Genomic DNA, 21,040 nt, shown 5'->3' with positions numbered 1-21,040 from the left:
ACTCTTACAGTTCTGACATGATGCCCCTCCCTGTCTCCATTCTTCCCCTTAAGGCATGCACTGCCAGCTGATCTTTTGATGCTATTTGTCAGATCATATTACTGCCTTGCTTGGAACCCTCCAACAACTTCTTTCTTATTGCAGGTAGAATTAATCTAAGCTCCTCACCATGGCCTAAATGTCTTCCATGATCTACCTCCGGAGCACCTCTCCAATTTCAGGTGGTGCCTGCCGCATGGGTCCTCTCTGCTCTTGAGCACAGTAAACTAACTCATTCCACTTGAGAGCCAGTGCACGTGTTCTTCTGTTTGCCTAGAACATGAGTTCCTGGGTCCCAGGGCTCCTCATCATTCAGGCCAGTTCACATGTCATGTCCAGGCCTTCCTTGACTAAATCACTCTCCTTTACCCTATTACCTGGTAGGATTTCTTGATAGCATGGCTATCTGGAATTATCTTACTTGTTTATTTTCTCTTTCCCCTCTCCACACACATGTCCTATTTCCTAGTATCTTTTATTCCTAGCATCTTGACCTAGTATGTAATTGACATCCAATATAATCTTTTGAATGAATTTGTGAAAAACATATGGTATGCATTTTTATATCTATGCTATAGATGTACCTAACTATTTAATTGTATGGACACAAATCATGTATTTTATTAATTCCCAGCTTATGGACAATTGGGGTGTTTGTAATTTTTGCTACTATAAGCCACATAGAAACAGACAGCTTTGTTCTTACAACTTTGTGCATTTGTTCCATTCTGTAGGGTCAATAGGGACACAGGTTTTGAATCTTTTTTTTTTTTTTTTTTTTTTTTGAGATGGAGTCTCGCTCTGTCGCCCCAGGCTGGAATGCAGTGGTGCGATCTCAACTAACTGCAACTTCTGCCTCCCCCGTTCAAGCAATTCTCTTGCCTCACCCTCCCAAGTAGCTGGGAATACAGACACCCGCCACCACACCCAGCTAATCTTTTGTATTTTTAGTAGAGACAGGTTTTCACCATGTTAGCTAGGATGGTCTCGATCTCTTGACCTCATGATCCACCCGCCTCGGCCTCCCAAAGTGCTGGGATTACAGGTGTGAGCCACTGTGCTGGGCCAAGGTTTTGAGTTTTGACAGCTACTACCAAATAAGTAATATAGTTTTTCTTTTCAAATTGAATTCTTTCCTTCCTCTTCTAATATCGCCTATTAATACATACAAATAAGGCTTTCTTTATCAACAAAAATGATATATCAGCTTTCCATTTTATCATGTGGACAAAATTCCACAGTGTCAATTGATTTGTCACACGATTCCATGTCATGATCAGGAGTAATACATACATACTAAAAACTTTGTAAAACTTAACTTGTGAACTTTTTTATGAGAAATCGCTAAGCAAATTTACACATTTTCAATCGCCTATTGAGGCTCTAATTCTTCCTGGTTTTATTTTGCTGTGCCCAGTCATCTCTTAATAGTATTTAAATCACTTAGAAAGACTCTAGTCTGTAAATCTGATTTTTATTGCTTTTATAATTACCCCCCAAAATGACAGAAAAAGAAAAGAAACTGTAATACTTGAAGAATTAACAAAATTGACTGCATTATCTTGCCCAATTAACTCTTGTTTCTGAAGCCTGCGAGAACTCCTCAAGAGCTTTGTCAATCAGGTTTAAATCTCAGGTAAATCCAAATTCTCATTTAAAGTATTCAAAAGAAAATTAAGCATCAATATGGCCTCACACTTGCCCTGCTGGGAGAGCTGGCACTCTCCAATTTCAATTACTCAGTTTCTTTTCATGAAATGTGTTTTTAAATCTCAGGGGAATATAATCTTTTGTGGTTAGATTGATCTCACTTGTGAAGAAAGTTCTCTACAACTTTGCCGAGGTTGCTTGCTAGTGCCAAAACGACATTGCAACACCTTAACTCTCCTTCCCCTTAATGCAAGCCACCATTTGTTTTTTTGTTTTGTTTTGTTTTGAGACAGGGTATTGCTCTGTTGCCCAGGCTGGAGTGCAGTGGTCCCATCACAGCTCACTGCAGCCTCAACTTCCTGAGTTCAAACAATCCTCCCACCTCAGCCGCTCAAGTAGCTGGGACTACAGACATGTATACCAGGTCTGGCTAATTTTTTATTTTTTATAGAGATGAGATCTCACTATGTTACCCAGGCTGGTCTCAAACTCCTGGGTTCAAGTGATTCTCTCACCTGGGCCTCCCAAAATTCTGGGATTACAAGTGTGAGCCACCACACCCACAGACCGCCTTTTGATCACATGTTCATCATGCAAATGGATAAACAGCGCAATTTTGCACTGGTATTTGTGATATAAACATTATTGCTCACACTGAAAATTTGGAGTTAACCAAAGTTCCAATCAACTAGTTGTTTGCTCCTCCTTGAAACAGGTGGAAAAAAAAATAAAGACCAAGGTTTCAGTGCTAAATAGTTGGTTCCCATATGAGATATATTTTTGGTACTGAATTTTTTAAAATTTCTTGAAAAAACAGTTTTAGTCTTTTTTCTAAGTGACAGTTAATAAAACACAAATTCATATTACTAATAAGTAATTTAGTTATTTTTTAAATCTTCCTTTGGTATATCAGGGTCAAAATGTGATTGGTTGGTTGATTTCTTTGTTGTTTTTTCTAAATGTATATATTCTATACTAGAGGTACCCACTGAATTCAAATGGTTCTAAATTGCTGTGGTCTTTCCTAGTCATATGACTTGAACCTTAGTCTCTACTGTGAAGTGAAAACAAAATGGAAGTAAATGACCTCAAAACTGCCCCATGGGCCGGAAGCAGTGGCTCACGCCTGTAATCCCAGCTCTTTGGGAGGCTGAGGTGGGCAGATCACGAGGTCAGGATATCGAGACCATCCTGGCTAACATGGTGAAACCCCGTCTCTACTAAAAATACAAAAAATTAGCCAGTCGTGGTGGTGGGCGACTGTAGTCCCAGCTACTTGGGGGGCTGAGGCAGGAAAATTGCTCAAACCCAGGAGGCGGAGGCTGCAGTGAGCCGAGATCACGCCACTGCACTCCAGCCTGGTGATAGAGCGAGACTCTGTCTCAAAAAGGAAAACAAACAAACAAACAAACAAACAAACTTCCCCATGGCCAGGAGGGCTAACACTTGAGCAATCTCAGGAGCCCAGGACCAACCAGTGTTTAAAGACTTCCCCATGAGATGTGGGGCATTTGCCACAGCTGGGAAAGATGTGAGCTGAATTTCTCACTGTGATTCAGAACTTACTGGCCATTCCAGATTAGTACAAAAATTCAAAGGAACACGTCCTTTGAACATAAAAATCCCATCTTCCATTTGTAAAGAAAACCCCGAAATATGCTTTTTCTCTGCCATTAAAGTTCTGACTGTACTTAGAAAATGATCTTTACTCCTGGTCTATAGAGTTCTAGTTAAATTTTTAACAGTATCCCTAAAACACAAAAATTTGTATCTCTTATTTTGAAATCTTCTAAGAAAATCATTTTCATTCATTATGAAGGTGTTGGACTGGACACATGTAAAGTTCTTTCTTGCTCTAGTCTCTGCTGTTCCTTTGTGCTCATCCAATAAGCACTTACTAGGCATTTTTTGTGTACCAATAACATACAAGATGTCTTGAGATATTTAAAAGGATAAAGCCCTTGAGAAGCATACACTACCTGTTTTCACTCCAATTTTATTCCTACACACACAATGCAAGTATGTGCCTCTTAAACTTCCCCAGCCTTATCAGCTGTCAACCTTTCACCTAAAAGTTTTCAAACACATTTCCATTTTCCTGCGCCCAAGAACCCCTTATATCACTGAGTTCTAAGTCTTTATTTACTGCCAGAATTATATCAGAGAATCTTGACTCTTTCACTTTTGTTGCGAAACTTCAGGTTGACTCTTGAGGTAGGAAAATTACTGAGAACTTACCATTTGATCCTCATAATAGCACGGTGACCCTGGAGACACCAATCCAATGATTCAACACCACTGGGCGCTTTTTTCTGAACTTACAGTGCTCACAGAGATCACAGTCTAATGAGAGAGAGAGGCAGTTCAAATAAAATGGGAACAATAGGAGCTTTAGGAGCCAGAGGAGGAATCTCTGCTTCAGAGGGGATGCCACGATCTGGGGAGGCTTTTGGTGGAACAGGGCCCGAGCTGAGGTTGGAACAAGATGTATGTATTGATTGACTATAGGGAGAAAGGTAAGCAGAAAGAGTACAAATGCATTCCAAACAAGGGAAGCAACAGTCATTCAACAAATATTTGTATTAGACACTACAGACCTAGTGGTGCCAATATAATCCATTAATTACATTTATGTTTGGGGTTACAAAGGCACAGAACAGATTATAGCCAGGCTACCACACTTTCTGAACCCTACTCTGTTGCCAAGTGATGTTCTAAGCATTATATTTATAATTCCTCACAACTAATAAGGAAACAGGCACAGAGAGGCCAAGTTGCTTGCCTGCAGTTACACAGCTGGTAAAGAATAGAGCCAAATTCAAACCCAGACAGACTGACTCTTAACCATAAAAAACAGAAATCAGTAGTTGGAGGAGGAGTGGGATCTAGATGGACCAAGGAAAGTTTTGATAAAATGGTGATGGAATAATTAGTAGGACTTAACCAGATAAGGAGATGGAAGAAGAATGCGCCAAGGGAAGTACAGCCCTGGAGGGATTACTTCTTTTCTGACCACTGCACCCCACCACCAAGTCTGTTATAGATATGCTGCTGCTGAGCTCTTAGAGCAATGAGGCTGCAGAGCTTTGGAGATTTTATTCTAACAACAAAGAGCACCCAGTGAAAAGCTTTAAGAAGAACAAGATTAAATTTGTACTTTTAAGAGATCACTGTCGCTGTTGAATGGAGAACACATTGGATGGAGGCAAGATTAGGGGCAGGAAAACTAGTCAGAACGCTATTTTAGTTGAATTCGATTAAGATGTGGTGGTGGCTTCCATCGGAGTGGTGGCACAGAAAGGTATTAGACAGATTTGAAAAAAAAAAACATAGGAGGTAAAAAAAAATAGGAGGTGCACTAAAAAGGAAACACAGGAGAAGAAACAGGTTTGCAAGGAAGAGCATGACATGATCATATGGTTCTGTATGACCCCAGTGAAGGGTGAGTATCAGTGTGGATGCATTTTGGAGAGGTGAGACTAGAGAAAGGCAGTCCCTAGACCATGAAAGGCCTTGTGTGTTAAGCTAAGGAGTATAAATTTCCTCCTGAAAGCTAAGATCTGTGACGACACGTTTTCTTTTTCTGTGTAAATTGCATATATATATATATATTCTATATATATTCTATATATATATTCTATATATATTCTATATATATTCTATATATATATTCTATATATATTCTATATATATACTATATATATATTCTATATATATTCTATATATATTCTCTATATATATTCTATATATATTCTATATATATATTCTATATATATTCTATATATATATTCTATATATATTCTATATATATTCTATATATATATTCTATATATATTCTATATATATTCTATATATATATTCTATATATATTCTATATATATATTCTATATATATTCTATATATATATTCTATATATATTCTATATATATATTCTATATATATTCTATATATATATTCTATATATATTCTATATATATATTCTATATATATTCTATATATATATTCTATATATATTCTATATATATATTCTATATATATTCTATATATATATTCTATATATATTCTATATATATATTCTATATATATTCTATATATATATTCTATATATATTCTATATATATTCTATATATATTCTATATATATATATATATATATATATATATTCTGAACAATTTTAGATTTACAGATAAACTCTAAAAATGGTCTGGTCCAGATAGTTCCTGTGTATCCTTCACTCAGTTTTTCCTAATGTTAAGATCTTTTTTTGTTTTGTTTTGAGACAGGGTCTCTCTCTATCGCCCAAGCTGTAGTGCAGTGGCACGATCACAGCTACTGCAGCCTGGACCTGCCAGGCTCAAGCGATCCTTCCATTTCAGCCTCCCGAGCAGCTGGGACTACAGGCAGGTGCCACCATGCTAGGCTAATTTTCTTACTTTTTGTAGAGAGAGAATCTCTACACAGGAAGACTGACCTGAAGGCTCACCAGTGTCTTTATCCACCAGGTATCATGGGATATCACATTGTGTTAAAAGGGTGGTAAAACAACATCCATTCTGACCCTACTGTCTAATTGAGAATTTGTAAGTTTTTTACAGTGGCCAGATTTACCTGATCATTACCATTATAATGGTCAGATTAATCATGATCTCATAGCAATTTTTTGAATTCTACATTTTAAGTATTATTCCCAGTGAATGAAAAACCTCTATTTTCACTCAGCAAAGGTAATGTCTGGATCATAACAATTTCCCAATTCTATCTAAATATTAATTTTAGTAGACAATCTTATAACTTAAATCTATTTCTTAGGAGAGGAACAATAAGTACTTCTTTTTAGACATGGTTTCTTATGAGTATTAAAAATAAGATAAAATAACTTTTTCATCATTAGTTTTAGAAACCATATATGAAATGGCACATTTTCATAAGTAGAGTTCCTTTGCCAAGATGCCTTAGTCTTGCAGGGTGGAGGAACAGAGAATGAGCCAGAGGCTTAGAAACTACTGAAGCACTGAAGTTAAAATTTGGTTCATTGATACAGTCTGGTGATATCAATTGGTAATTACACTTTTTGGATAAATGTCAGAATAAAACATATAGATAATTGTATGTTTCCTGATCTAGTTAAAGTGTAATGTTCTAAAGAGCGCTCTTCCCAATAAACATTCTCTTATTACAATTACAAAAAAATCCAAAAGAAAAATAAAAAGGGAGAGGGGAAAAAAAAAATCCCAGAATAGGAACGCAGAGGACAAGATGGGCAGCAGCAGAGAGACCAGATTGGGGACTATTACAGGAAAGAGTTCAGGGGAAAGATGCTGGTGGCCTGAACTTGATAACAGAGAGATGTAAGAAGAGATCCTTGTGGATGGAATTCACAGGCCATGGAAACTGACTAGATAGAGGGCTCAAGAGGAGAGAAGAGTTTCTGGCTTCTGTCTTAGCAACTTGTGGGTGGTGGTACCATTCATAGAACCAGGGAGCCCCAAAGGAACAGCAGGTTTGAGGAGAGGGATGAATTTAGCTGTGGACTCACAGGCAATGGGATATTGCCTCTGATACTGCTGCTTCTCTTCAGTCCTTTCTAACCTTACGCTTTTAGGTGATCTTCCTCTTTTTGCTGTAATTCTCTGACCACTTATTCAACATTCTTTTCTAAAATTCTTAATTATGCCTCCTGTAGATCCTGTATTATCATGAAATAGTGAGTATTCAGATTGCCGCCTTTGTTTCTAGCTTCATGACCATGATACATTTGTTAAAACCAAAACCAACATTGGTACACTACTATTAAATAAACTCAGTTTTCACCAATTTTTTTCACAAATGTTGGGTTTTTCCTGTTCCAGGATCCAGTCCAGGATAGGTTTCTCTACTTTTCATGGGAAAAGCAGAGTGCAAAATTCTCAGCCTACCTTTGCCACTTCCCAGAAATATAAATTTAAAATTAAATAAAAAGCTCTGAAATGTATCTTCATTCATGAAATAAAAATAATATTAATACGACTTCTACTTTATCCAGATCATTTTGTAAGAATCACAAATGTAGTATATGGGTGCCCTGAAACACTTTGAAATATTTAAAGCTGTACAAACATAAGGCTGAATTTTTGTGAGTTAATTCTGATTCTATCATTTACTGCTGATAGGAGTAGAACTGGGATGTGGTTGAATAACACAACTAGATAATCAAAGCATTATGTATGTTTGGCTTAGAAATATACTTTTTGAGAACATTTATATTTAAATACAGGTTCAGTTATGCAGGATGAATAAGTTCTGGAGATGTAATGTATAGCCTGGTGACTATAGTCAATAATACTGTATCATGTACTTGAAATTTGCTAAGAGAGTTGATCTTAAGTGTAAAATAAACTATGTGAGGTGATGGGCAAGTTAATCAGCTTGATTGTGCTAATTATTTAACAATGTATACATCTATCAAAACATTATGTTTAATGCTTTAAATATATACAATTGGCTGCACGTGGTGTCTCACGCCTATAGTCCCAGCTACTCGGGAGGCTGAGACAGGAGGATCTCTTGAGCCCAGGAGTTCGAGGCAACAGTGAGCGATGATCATGCCACTACACTCCAACCTGGGCGACAGTAACACCCTGTCACTAAATAAATAAACAAATACAAGTTTTATTTGTTAAGTATACCTCAATAAAGCCACAAGTAGGGGAAGAAAGAAAAAAAATAAATAGGAGTATATGCAGTATCTATATTTATATAGATACATCCATATTTATATACAAATCCTGGCAATTTAGTTCAAACAAAATATTTATATGCATATATTCTTTGTGTGTGGTGTGTGTGTGTGTGTGTGTGTGTGTGTGTGTGTGTGTGTTTGTTTTTCTTTTTTCTTTTTTTTTTTGAGACTGAGTCTTGCTCTGTCACCCAGGCTGGAGTGCAATGACCCCATCTCGGCTCACTGCAACCTCTGCCTCCCAGATTCAAGCGATTCTCCTGTCTCAGCCTCCCACGTAGCTGGGACTACAAGCACACACCACCAAACATGGCTAATTTTGGTATTTTTTGTAGAGATGGGGTTTCACCATGTTGGCCAGGCTGGTCTCGAACTCCTGACCTCAGGTGATCCACCTGTCTCAGCTTCACAAATTGCTGGGATTACAGGCGTGAGTCTCCAAGCCCAGCCTCATATATTATTTTTTTAGAATAGCTAAGACCACAACACTATGCCCAACTAATTTTTTAATTTTTTTGTAGAAGCAGGGTCTCCCTATGTTTCCTAGGCCGGTCTCAAACTCCTGACCTTAAACAATCTCCTGCTTATGCCTCCCAAAGATATTTATAAATTCTAGCGATTTAGTTCAAAAAATATGGATGCCAAACTGAAGACACACCCAGAAGGTGCTAAGATGCCCATTCTCTTCCTTCTGATCCCACTCAGCTCCTTTCTATGAACAATTTCATCCTGGGAAAGAACAAGCCAATGCCCACCTTCATTCCCCAAGCCAAGGACACCCACCCTTTCTCCAAGGCTCCTTCAGATGGCTTCAGTATGTGGGTTTCAGAAAACCACTTAATGAGATGCAATGAGAAGAACAGCATGAAAGTTCATAAATCTTTACCTACTTGAGCACGCCCCTGAAAAACAAATTAAGCCAACTCTTATATGAGCTGTTAACAGATGTGACAGCAAGATGTGCTTGCAGCAATAAAGCAGAATGCCCATCAGAAGAAAACCATTTCACATCTATAACTAACTGCCACATCAGCCTCCTCACCTGCTTCCTTCCTCAGCCTTTGACCTGCTGGATAGCTCCTCTTAGATGACTATATCCAATGAAACAACAATATCTTCAATTTCAAGCCGAATATATAGTCTGTGTCTACAAGGGCGTAAAATTCATGTCACTTGCTTTCCGAGGCTTCTTATCTTCTTACTGTCATTTTCCCTTTGCTCACGTTTTTCTCAACCCTAATTTTTACTTATTTTTGATCTTATGATGTGTGTACCTTCATAAACCATCCTTGTAAACCATGTTTTTATGGTAGGCAGACTATCATAAAACAATCTTTGTGAACTATCTTCACAAATCCTTTTAGGAACAAGACAAAGTAAAATGTATAAGTGAACAAGAACAAATAAATAGATAAATAATTGGCACTATGTTCACTTTTCTTTCCCCAAGGTTCAGCCATTTTCCTTTCCCAAGGCATGAGCGCCACATAGAGTTTTCAGCATCCGTCTCTCCCTGCCCCGACCCTCCCCGCCCCGACCCTCCCCGCGAAAATACATATTCACCCCCCTCATGACAAATATATATGTAACTTCCTGCCTAAGTACTATCTATAATTCATCTTCACAAATGTCATCTTATTTCATCTTCCCCAGGCTCAGAAAAGTTAACGTATTTAAGTATATTCAGAATAAGTGGAGGAACCCAAATTTGAACCCTGGTCTATCTGACTCAAAATTTTATGGTCTTTCCACCGCTCCACCCAACTTTCTGATCTCAGGGGGTGTGACATGTACCAGGATTGAAACACTACACTGTGAGCCTCTCATCCTTGTTTATTTCCAGTGCCACCCTTGCTGGAATCAGCCTGGGTGACATTTCTGCAGCCTGTCTCCTCGTCTCCATAAATCCTCTGTCTCCAGCTTCCAACTTTCTCTTACTACAGGCAGTGTAAAACACTTTGCCAAAAAAGAAATTTATCCATGACATTCTGCGGAGTATTCAATTCCTGTGCCCAGGCTATTCTGTAATCTACCAATATCAGTTTGAATTTAAGAGATGACTTCATTTTTTTTTTACTCTAGACCTCAATTCTCAATTCTTCCTTGAATTTTCAGATCTCTGTGGAATATCTCTACTGGCTATTTTTATTATTACCCTAAACTTCAGTTTGTATTCCCTATAATTAATCTCCCTTTATCTATTCTATCAGTGAGATAAGATTTCCATTCTCCTAGAATAAACATTTTAGATTCCTTGTGTGTGTGTAGACAAAATGGAACTAGTGAGTTTAATGGTCACTCAATGCATCAAAACATATTTTAGATTAGCCACTTCAGCACATGCCTCCACATTAGTCAAAAACAGACTTCCAGAATATTATTCAGTCATTAAAATAATTAAGTACTGATATATGCTACACAGTGAATGAATCTTGAGAACATTATGCCAAATGAAAGAAGTCAGACACAAAAGGTCACAAGCTGTATGAGTCTATTTGTATGAAACATCCAGAATCCATGAATCCATAGAGACAGAACACAGATTGGTGATTTCCAGAGCTGGAGAGAGAGAACAGGGAGCAACTGCTTTTAATAGGTAAGGAGTTTGTGAACGTACTAAATACCACTGAATTGTTCACTTTAAAATGGTTCATTATGGCCAGGCATGGTGGCTCACGCCTGTAATCCCAACACTTTGGGAAGCTGAGGCGGGCAGATCGCTTGAACTCAGGAGCTCGAGACCAGCCTAAGAAACACAGTGAAACCTCATCTTATTGAAAAAATATATTTAATAAATAAATAAAATGGTTCATTTTATGTTATATAAATTTCACTTCAATAAACTATTTTTTTAAATAAGCTTCCAGCAAGTGCACGAACCTCCAATAGCTTCCTATTTCATTTTATTCTATCCTCGACTGACAGAGTCATAAATACCCCTACACATCAACACTCACCTCCTCAACAAACTTCACAAGTGCCCACCTGGCCTTATCTCTCGGGCCAGGAGTCTCAATGTCCACCTAAAATTCTCCAACGTCCATCCCAAGCCTCCTTCAGCTTGTTCTTGCTTCTCTATGCATCTCTCTTTTCTGAACTCTTTCTGCATTCAAAAGAAGACATACATGCAGCTTGCAACCATAGGAAAAAAAATCTCGACGTCACTGATCATTAGAGAATGCAAATCAAAACCTCAATGAGATACCATCTCACACGAGTCAGAATGGTGATTATTAAAAAGTCAAAACATAACAGGGCCAGGCACAATGGTTCACACCTGTAATCCCAGCACTTTGGGAGGCCAAGGCAGGCAGATCACTTGTGGCAAGGAGTTCAAGACCAGCCAGGGCAATGTGACGAACCCCTTCTCCACTAAAAATACCAAAATTAGCCGGACATGGTGGTGCACGCCTGTAGTCCTAGCTACTCAGGAGTCTGAGGCATGAGAATCACTTGAACCCAGGAGGTGGAGGCTGTAGTGAGCTGATACCATGCCAATGCACTCCAGCCTGGGCGACAGAGCAAGGCCCTGTCTCAAAAAATATATAAAAAATAAAAAAACATGCTGGCGAGATTGCAGAGAAAAGGGAATGCTTATACACTGTCGGTGGACGTGTAAGTCAGTTCAGCCTTTGTGGAAGACAGTGCGGTGATTCCTCAAAGACCTAAAAACAGAAATACCATTTGACCCAACAATCTCATTACTGGGAATACACCCAAAGGAATATAAATCTTTCTATCATAAAGATATGTGTATGGTCATTGCAGCAGTACTCACAAAAGCAAAGGCATGGAATCAACCTAAATGCCTATCAATGGCAGGCTGCATAAAGAAAATGTGGCACATATACACCGTGGAATACTATGCAGCCATTAGAAAGAACAAGATGGTGTCCTTTGCAGGGTCATGGACGGAGCTGTAGGCCATTGTCCTAAGCAAACCAATATAGGAACAGAAAACCAAATACAGCATGTTCTCACATATAAGTGAGAGCTAAATAATGAGAACACATGGACACATAGAGTGGAACAACACACACTGGGGACTATCAGAGGGTGGAGAGGGGGAGAAGGGAGTGGATCAGGAAAAGTAACTAAGGGATACTAGGCTTAATATTTGGGTGAAAAAATAATCTGTACAGCAAACCCCCATGACACAAGTTTACCCATATAACAAACTTGCACATGTACCACTGAACTTAAAATAAAAGTTAAAGATAAAAAATAGCATGTAGTGTTTTAATTTGATACACATTATATGTATTGCCTAACCAGATCATAAATTTCTTTTAAGGCAAAATACCATGTCAGATACGTCATTGATTCTCACACTGCCTATTTTACTCTTGGGAATACAGGAAGGACTTAATAAATGCTTCATTGATTACTCATTAACTACTACTCAGGAAAGTTAATCATCTGTTTCACCCACTTCTCCTGCTAAGCTATAGTTTACCCTTTGTTTGGTGCAATTCCCAACTCGCTCTTTTCACTCCCTTGTTTAGTAAGAAATCATTTCTCTAATTTATTAGGGAAATGGACTAACTACATGCCACTGAGAAAGAAACACCACTAATACACCCAGTCCCAGAATCTAGGAGATGGGGTAAGAATGGTGATTTGCAGTAGCCATCTTTCCTTCATAGGGAATTTCTGAAACTGCAGCCCTTGTATTTGTTGTGTTCTGTAGAAAGAACAGATAGTTACAAATGGAAAGACTAATACAGATCTATGAAACTAAGCTTAGGAAATAACACTTTAATATATGCCCCCTCAACTAAAGAACAAAAATAAATAAATAAATCATTAATTGAAAACAATCATTTGTCCTACCAACTTCCTTTCACAAACCTCTTCACCCTCCCTTGTCCCATATATTTATTGTGTGGCATAAGGGGGAAACATTACTATGCTGAAGCTTTTATATAAGTGGTTCTGCTTGAGTAAAAGGGGGACATATGGAAATCAGCTAACAGCAAGAGTTCAAAGAGGGAAGCTGGAGGAGGAGGAGACATATTGGCTCTGGATTTGGGACATCCCAATGCGTAAATGTTTATAAGCCCAATAAGAACAAAGACCTGAATACACCTTCCAGTTTTAAGTAGCTTTCTTTTTTGAGAAGCAAGAAGCGATCATGGCTGTTTGTGCTGGGCTATATAGCAAAGGTCGAGAATGTCAGTAGGAGCAAGATATAGACAATTACATGAAATAGACATAGATCCAAACACAGTGGGACTCTGATAAAGATTAAAATCAGCATAATAAAGAAAGCCTAATTATCTAATATCAGAGATTGCCATTTTCATGGCATCATGATTATGTCATTGTGTTTCTATAATACATGCTGGTAAAGTCCATAACTTTGTTGTTTTATATATTATATATGTATTTTCTTTCCAGGATCAAGCTTCTTCTTTTAAAAACGTATTTTTAATGTTATATTTCATGAACAATTCCAGTCTGGCTTCAGAGCAACATTTTTCCACCCACATGGGAAACTGTGCCAAACCTTCAAGGTTTTGCAATACTCTTTTGTAGTATTCCTTTTATCAGGAAATCAAGTAAATATTAATTTTTTTCAAAAGAGAGAAGTATGTTTCCCTGCCAAACACCCAAGTTACAGTGTGATATAATATGAGCTATCAACACATTCTGTATGTTTTCCAAAGACTTCAATCGAGATACCACGGTAGCCGTTTGCTTCAGTGAGGGCTCACAAGTCGAATTAAGGGCTGAATTTATTCCAGAACCCTTAAACTTTTTTTTTTTTTTCGGGGTGGGGGGATGGAGTTTTGCTCATTGCCTAGGCTGGAGTACAATGGCGCAATGTTAGCTCACCGCAACCTCCACCTCCCAGGTTCAAGCAATTCTCCTGCCTCAGCCTCCCGAGTAGCTGGGATTACAGGCATGTGCCACCACGCCCGGCTAGTTTTGTACTTCTAGTAGAGACAGGGTTTCTCCATGTTGGTCAGGCTGGTCTCAAACTCCCGACCTCAGGTGATTCAACTGCCTCAGCCACCCAAAGTGCTGGGATTACAGGCATGAGTCACTGCACCTGGCAACCCTTAAACCTTTTCATAAACAAATAAACACATAGTTTAAGACTCTTGATATCTTTTTTCCTAACCATTCATAGCGTCAATAATTTCATTTTTCACAATCCCCAGATTTCTAAAATGCAGTAGTTATTAGACATCCTGCAGTGGGCTAAGAACCCATCCTACAGTGGGGCCATTTTTTCAACACGGACTATCTATACCGTAAAAAAAAAAAAAAAAAAAAAAATACAGGTTTGAAAGTAGAAATGACCTGGTCTCAATTCACAGACAGGACATTACTTCTAAGAACTACAAAGTGCCTTTATTTTTTGAGGTTTAAATACATTTTAAAGGCACCATAGTGTTGGTTCAAAGAAGAAGAAAGAGAAGGAGATTATTAAAAGGACGTTGGGTGAAATAAGAAAAAAGTCAGAAAAGAAGGATTGCCAAGAAATTTAGTCTCTAGGACACACTGGAGGCTTGAGATTAAGTTTTATTTCTCTCCAAAATTTCCGGATGGAATTGCATCTGTAGGAATCCTGGCTCAGATGAGTCCTCTTGGAAAATCAATATATCATAAAATCCAGAATTATTTAAGTTTTAAACACCATCAACATCAAACCAACACCGACTAAAAACTAAATAAGTGGACATGCAATTCACTGGAGACAACCACAACCAACACCATGTGCAGCTCAACTCAGAACTCGCTGAGGGAAGAATTATTCTCCCACAATTTAGACTAACAAATCCACATTCTTAAAGTTTCTCAGACGTCTAATTAAAAGAAGCCCTCTTGGATGATAGAAATATGCCTATGCGTATAATGACTCATTCTATGGCATATCATTTTAAGCCTGTAACTCATTATCAGTTAAATAACATAGGGTCTGGAATGCAATGATAGATGTTAAGGCTGGCAAAGGAATGAGGCCTCACACTAGCAACTGTGTGTGTGCATGTGTATGTGTGCATATGTATGTGTGTGTTTGTCCCACCCATGAATATAGTAGTGTTGACAAATGAAACCATTTGGAGCATTCGTTTTCTGAAGTTCCTTGTTTGATCAGGCCACAGTAGCTATTTGATTAAGCCATTATAGGCCTCCCTATTTGCCAATGAGGAAATCGTGATGAACAATGAAGGCTTTTTCAAGACCACACATAGAAACATGTAACATCCCTGCAGAAACTGAGCTCAACCTTGGGAAAAAGAAATCATCCAACATTTGTCAGACTCATTTGTCCATTCACTACAAAATGCCTATTAAGCACAACCCCAGCAAGTTGTGTATTCAGCAAGTGTTGGGCATCCAGCCACTATGTAACCTGGCCCAAACTACTCAGAAGAAAACCATCCTGGGGGCTAAGAGGCAGAGCACCAATGCTTCTGATTGGTAGCTGCAGCTGTGAAACACCTTGTAAAAGAAACAGTGGGCAAACCTGAGAGCAATGCAATTTATTCCTTTCACAGCAAATAGTATGAATTACCACTTGATAGTCAATCATTTCCTTAGACTTACACAGTCTCCCAGGACAGGACAAGGTAGTGATCATGAACAGAGGACAGATGGCATCCTTCTCCATATGAAAATGGAGTCCAATCGGATGTTAATTTTTTTTTCTCTTTTCAGACAGAGTCTTACTCTTTTGCCCGGGCTGGAATACAGTGGTATCATCACAGCTCACCGTAACCTCAAACTCCTGAGCTCAAGTGATCCTCCAGCCTCAGCCTCCCAAGTAGCTGGGACTACAGGCATGTACCACCACACCTGATTTTTTTTTTATTTTTTTGTAGAGATGGGGTCTCACTATCTTGCCCAGGCTGGCCTTGAACTCCTGGGCTCAAGTGATCCTCTCAACTCAGCCTCCCAAAGTGTTGGGATTATAGGCATGAACCACAGCACCCAGCATTTTTTTTTTTTTTTTTGACAGAGTCTTGCTCTGTTACCAGGCTGGAATGCAGTGGCACGATCTCTGCTCACTGCAACCTCCCCCTCCTGAGTTCAAGCGATTCTCCTGCCTCATACTCCCGAGTAGCTGGGACTACAGGCGTGCACCAAACACCCAGTTAATTTTTGTATTTTTAGTAGAGATGGGGTTTTACCATGCTGGCCAGGCTGGTCTCGAACTCCTGACCTCGTGATCTGCCCGTCTTGGCCTCCCAAAGTGCTTTGATTACAGGCGTGAGCCACCGCACCTGGCCTGCACCCAGCCTTATGTTATTTTAGACGACTTGTTTGAACATCAGAAACTTATTTTCTTTAATCCTGAGGAGCAAATGAGTTTACAGTATTACACTCCGAAGAGATTGTAAATTCTACTTGGTAGATGAAGAGAAAGAGAGGAGTGACTTGTCTTTGGGCATAGTGTCAATTAACAGAAAACTCCATGCAAATAAAAAATACCCATAAGATTTTCATCCCACTCTTTCAGATGCAGAGGAAAAGTCTAAATCATAGTTGTAAGCTTGTAAATATTAAGGCTATGCATATGGCTGTAATAGTAGTTTCTATATGAGGTCAATTTGCCACATTCAAATTTTTATTAAGTACTGCATTGCTATCACATAAAGACAGAGCGTATGTAAAGAATCCATAGAATTGTAAATTTTAAATGAGTAGATTGTATGATATGTGAATTATATCTCACTGAAGACTGAGAACCAAAGTTGAAGAACCAATGCTTCCAGATTAAAAGGGCCCACCAAGTACCCAGTAAATAAATTTAAAATGTCCTCTCCTAAACCATCTCATTGGAAAATTTCCAAACCCTAAGGATAAAAAGAAGACTTGATAATCTTACAGAGGCTGGGTACGGTGGCTCATGCCTGTAATCCCAGCACTTTGGGAGGCTGCGGTGGGCAGATCACCTATGTCAGGAGTTGGAGACCAACCTGGCCAACATGGTGAAACCCCGTCTCTACTAAAAGTACAAAAATTACCCGGGCATGGTGGCAGGCACCTGTAATCTCCGCTACTCGGCAGGCTGAGACAGGAGAATCACATGAACCCGGGAGACAGATTTTGTAGTGATCCGAGATCATGCCACTGTACTCCAGCCTGAGTGATAGAGCGAGACCGCGTCTCAAAAAAAAAAAGAAAATCTTACAGAGATTCTCATCTGCAAAAGAATGAGAATCACGCTCATGTAGGATGGCTCACTGGCCCTGGACACCTGAAGACACTGGGACATGGTTTTCATTGCTTTGAGGGAAAATGATTTTTGACATAGAATTCTTTATCCAACAGAACTATAAACCAAATATAAATCAAGGAGGACTAAAAACATTTTCCTCTAAGGCAATGTTTGTTAGAAGGTTTCTTAAGGATTTACTACACAAAGTGTGGATGAAAAAAAAAGCAAGAAAAGAAGAAAATACAAGATTTAGAAAACAGTCAATTCAACCTAGCAGAACAAAAGAGAGAAGTCCCAAATGCCAGCTGGGGAACTGCCTTGGAGTGGGGTGGGGAGGACCAACCAGATTGCAGCCAAAGGACAGACGGCTCCTAGAAAGTATCTAAGAATATTCCCTTTATTCCATGAACTGGCTGCAATGTTTCAGAAATAAAAGCAAATTACATATGGGATAAAAGTAGATAAAGATGTAAGTTTTTTAAATCCTCACATCTCATAACAGGCATTTCCAATAATAGGAAGTCAGGCCAGGCATGGTGATTCACACCTACAATCCCAGCACTTTGGGTAGCCGATGCAGAGGATCACTTGGGCTCAGGAGTTTGAGACCACCCTAGGCAACAAGGTGAGACCCTCTATCTCTCCAAAAATATCAAAAAATTAGCCGAGTGTGGTGACACATGCCACCGCAGATACAAGGGACGTTGAGGCAGGAGGATCACTTGAGCCCAGGAGGTCAAGGCTACAGTGAGCCAAGATCACACCATTGCACCCCAGCCTGGGCAACCGAGTGAGACCCTGTTTCAAAAATAAATAAAGAAACAAAAGTAAAAATTAGAAAAAAATAAAACAAGATGAGGAGCTTGTAAACCCAAACTTAGGGGTGTAATCAAAATATACACATCAACTATGGAACTTGGTAAACTGAAATAAATGTTAAAAATGATATCTCCAGGCTGAGCATGGTGGCTCACGCCTGTAATTCCCAGCACTTTGGGAGGACAAGGCAGGCGGATCACGAGGTCAGGAGTTCGAGACCAGCCTGGCCAACACAGTGAAACCCTGTCTCTACTAAAAATACAAAAATTAGCCAGGTGTGGTGTGGGCACCTGTAGACCCAGCTACTCTGGAGGCTGAGGCAGGAGAATTGCTTGAACCAGGGAGGCAGAGGTTGCAAGTGAGCCAAGCTCATGCCATTGCATTCCAGCCTAGGCAACAAGAGCAAGACTCCATCTCAAAAAAAAAAAAAAAGATACATCCCTTCCCCTAAAAAAAGGTGTAGTGGGTGATTAATTTGATTCTAATTTGGTTAATTCTGCCTAAAAATAAAGCAAAGTTGTATAAAAGAGGTAATATTTGAGCTAAACCCTAAATTATTGGTAGGATTTTGATGGAGAAAGGAAAAGCTGTATTCTAGCTTATCCTAAAATGTATTCTACAAAAGGACAATCATTTGTAGGCATGCAAACCAAAAGCCAATTACACCTTCCAGAAAGGAACTATTATTTTTTAAATACTCATCTGAAAAGAAGAAATATTCAGAATATTTTATGCTAAGCTCAGACTTACTTGTACCAGAAAATACTTTCTGAGCTTGTGAGTCACTTAGTTACTTAAAGAATAAAATTCTGAAAGAAACAAGATTATATTGTGTGTCAGTGACCATGAAGGTTGAATTCATTTACCTAGAACAGTTTCTGTTGACTTAACTATGCTTTAAGTTTACTTCTCTAATTCTGTAATGAAAGTAGCAGAGCTGGTTACAGGGAAAATGTTCATAGTGAATCACAGTTTGAGTGCTTTTGTTCTTTTTATTATTTTTTTCTTAGAGCATGTCTTGGTAATTTCTAACTCCAAGCTTATTTTATTGAAGTCTTCAATTTATAACTAAATCTGTTATTATGCCAACAAACTTGATCTACATATTTTATTTATTTATCATTGATTTTTTAAAAGAAATGAGGTTTTTCTAACCAAAGTCAATTTGGAGTCAAAATAGATGATATACACTAAAATTTCATGAGGAGTTTTCTATGAAGTCATTTGAGGAAACAAAAATCACAAGAACTTTTGAATTAAAACAAGTTTATTTTTGTTGCCAAATATTTTTAAAATAATAATTCTGCTTTTTAGCACCTGTGTGCTTTTTAGTCAAACACACCAAAACGCCACCAGGTTGAGAGGAGCAATCTGAATACTTTAAAAGCTTTAAAAAATAGATTTAGCAGGTAATTATGATTTTTATATCATAAAATTTTATTAAAATCTCCTCTGTCTCTTGTTTATTCTTCCACTTTACATGTTTAATCTCAACTGCCTTCACATATCAACCTCATTTACTCAAGCAGAGATAAGACCAGCGGGAAAGAGAAAAACGTACCTTATTATTTCAAGTCGACAAATAGTTATTGAGTGCCTATCTTGTACAGAACTATGCTAGGTGCTCTGGAGAATATGAAAGTAGCATGATACCTGACCTTTGTCCTCATCCTTGTATAGAGAGATCAAATCAGTGGGGCATTGCAAAACAGTGCAATATGAGAATAAATGTTCATGGCATGGGAGGGGCACAGACAGGAACTCACAGATTCAGATAAGGAAGGGCTCAGGTTGAGCTACAGTGGAGGGAAATGATGGCCTCCAGAGAAGATCTCGGCCTTGGGGGATGAGTTTAAAGGGTCAGATGGGTAGAGAGGATAAGCAAGCCCAGGCAGTGACATGAGCACAGATGCAGAGACAGGAAGGGGTAGATTGTATTTGAAGTTCTAGTTTGGCCAAACTGAGATAAACTCACCATTAGGGAGAGTGGGATAAGGTTGGAGTAGTTAGGAGCAACTTTGCAGGCAGTCTTAGAAGTATTATGCAGGCAATAGAAAACCATTCAAATGTTGTGAGATGGAAGATGACCCAGCAAAACCAACTTTTGGGCACATTCCTACTGCAACTCTGTACAGAGGAATATTATAGAAGTGTAGGATAGAAGGGTATTTGACTTTCCAGATGTGAGGTGATGGGAATTTAAATCATTAAAAATACTTAACTAGGAGGCCATTGGGCTAAGATGGCTCCAGTGCCTTGGGTTCCGACATAAGCAAACCAAATCCCAATTTGATGTAAACAATAAAGCAAAATCTAAGCTTAACCAATTAGAAACCACCAAATAACCTTTAGCTAGAAATCTGACCAATCAGAAACCACCAACTGACCTCTAACTAGGGACTTTTCACATTGGCTAATCAAATGTTTTCTCTGTCTTGCTTCCAAGAATACTTGATGTTTCCTCTCTCACACACTTCCCACACCTCATGGAGTGCTGAACCACTTGAGGTCTGATGATGCTCAATTCATGAATTGCTGAATGCTTAAATTCATTAAAATTTTAATATGACTAAATGTATCTTTTAACACAATTATGGTTGGTGGTAGTAGAAAAAAATAGAAAAGAAAAAAATGGAAAAAAA

The sequence above is a fragment of the Homo sapiens genome, chromosome 13, assembly GCF_000001405.40.
Source record: "Homo sapiens chromosome 13, GRCh38.p14 Primary Assembly".
Classification (NCBI taxonomy): Eukaryota; Metazoa; Chordata; class Mammalia; order Primates; family Hominidae; genus Homo; species Homo sapiens.
This window is presented reverse-complemented; position numbering follows the sequence as displayed.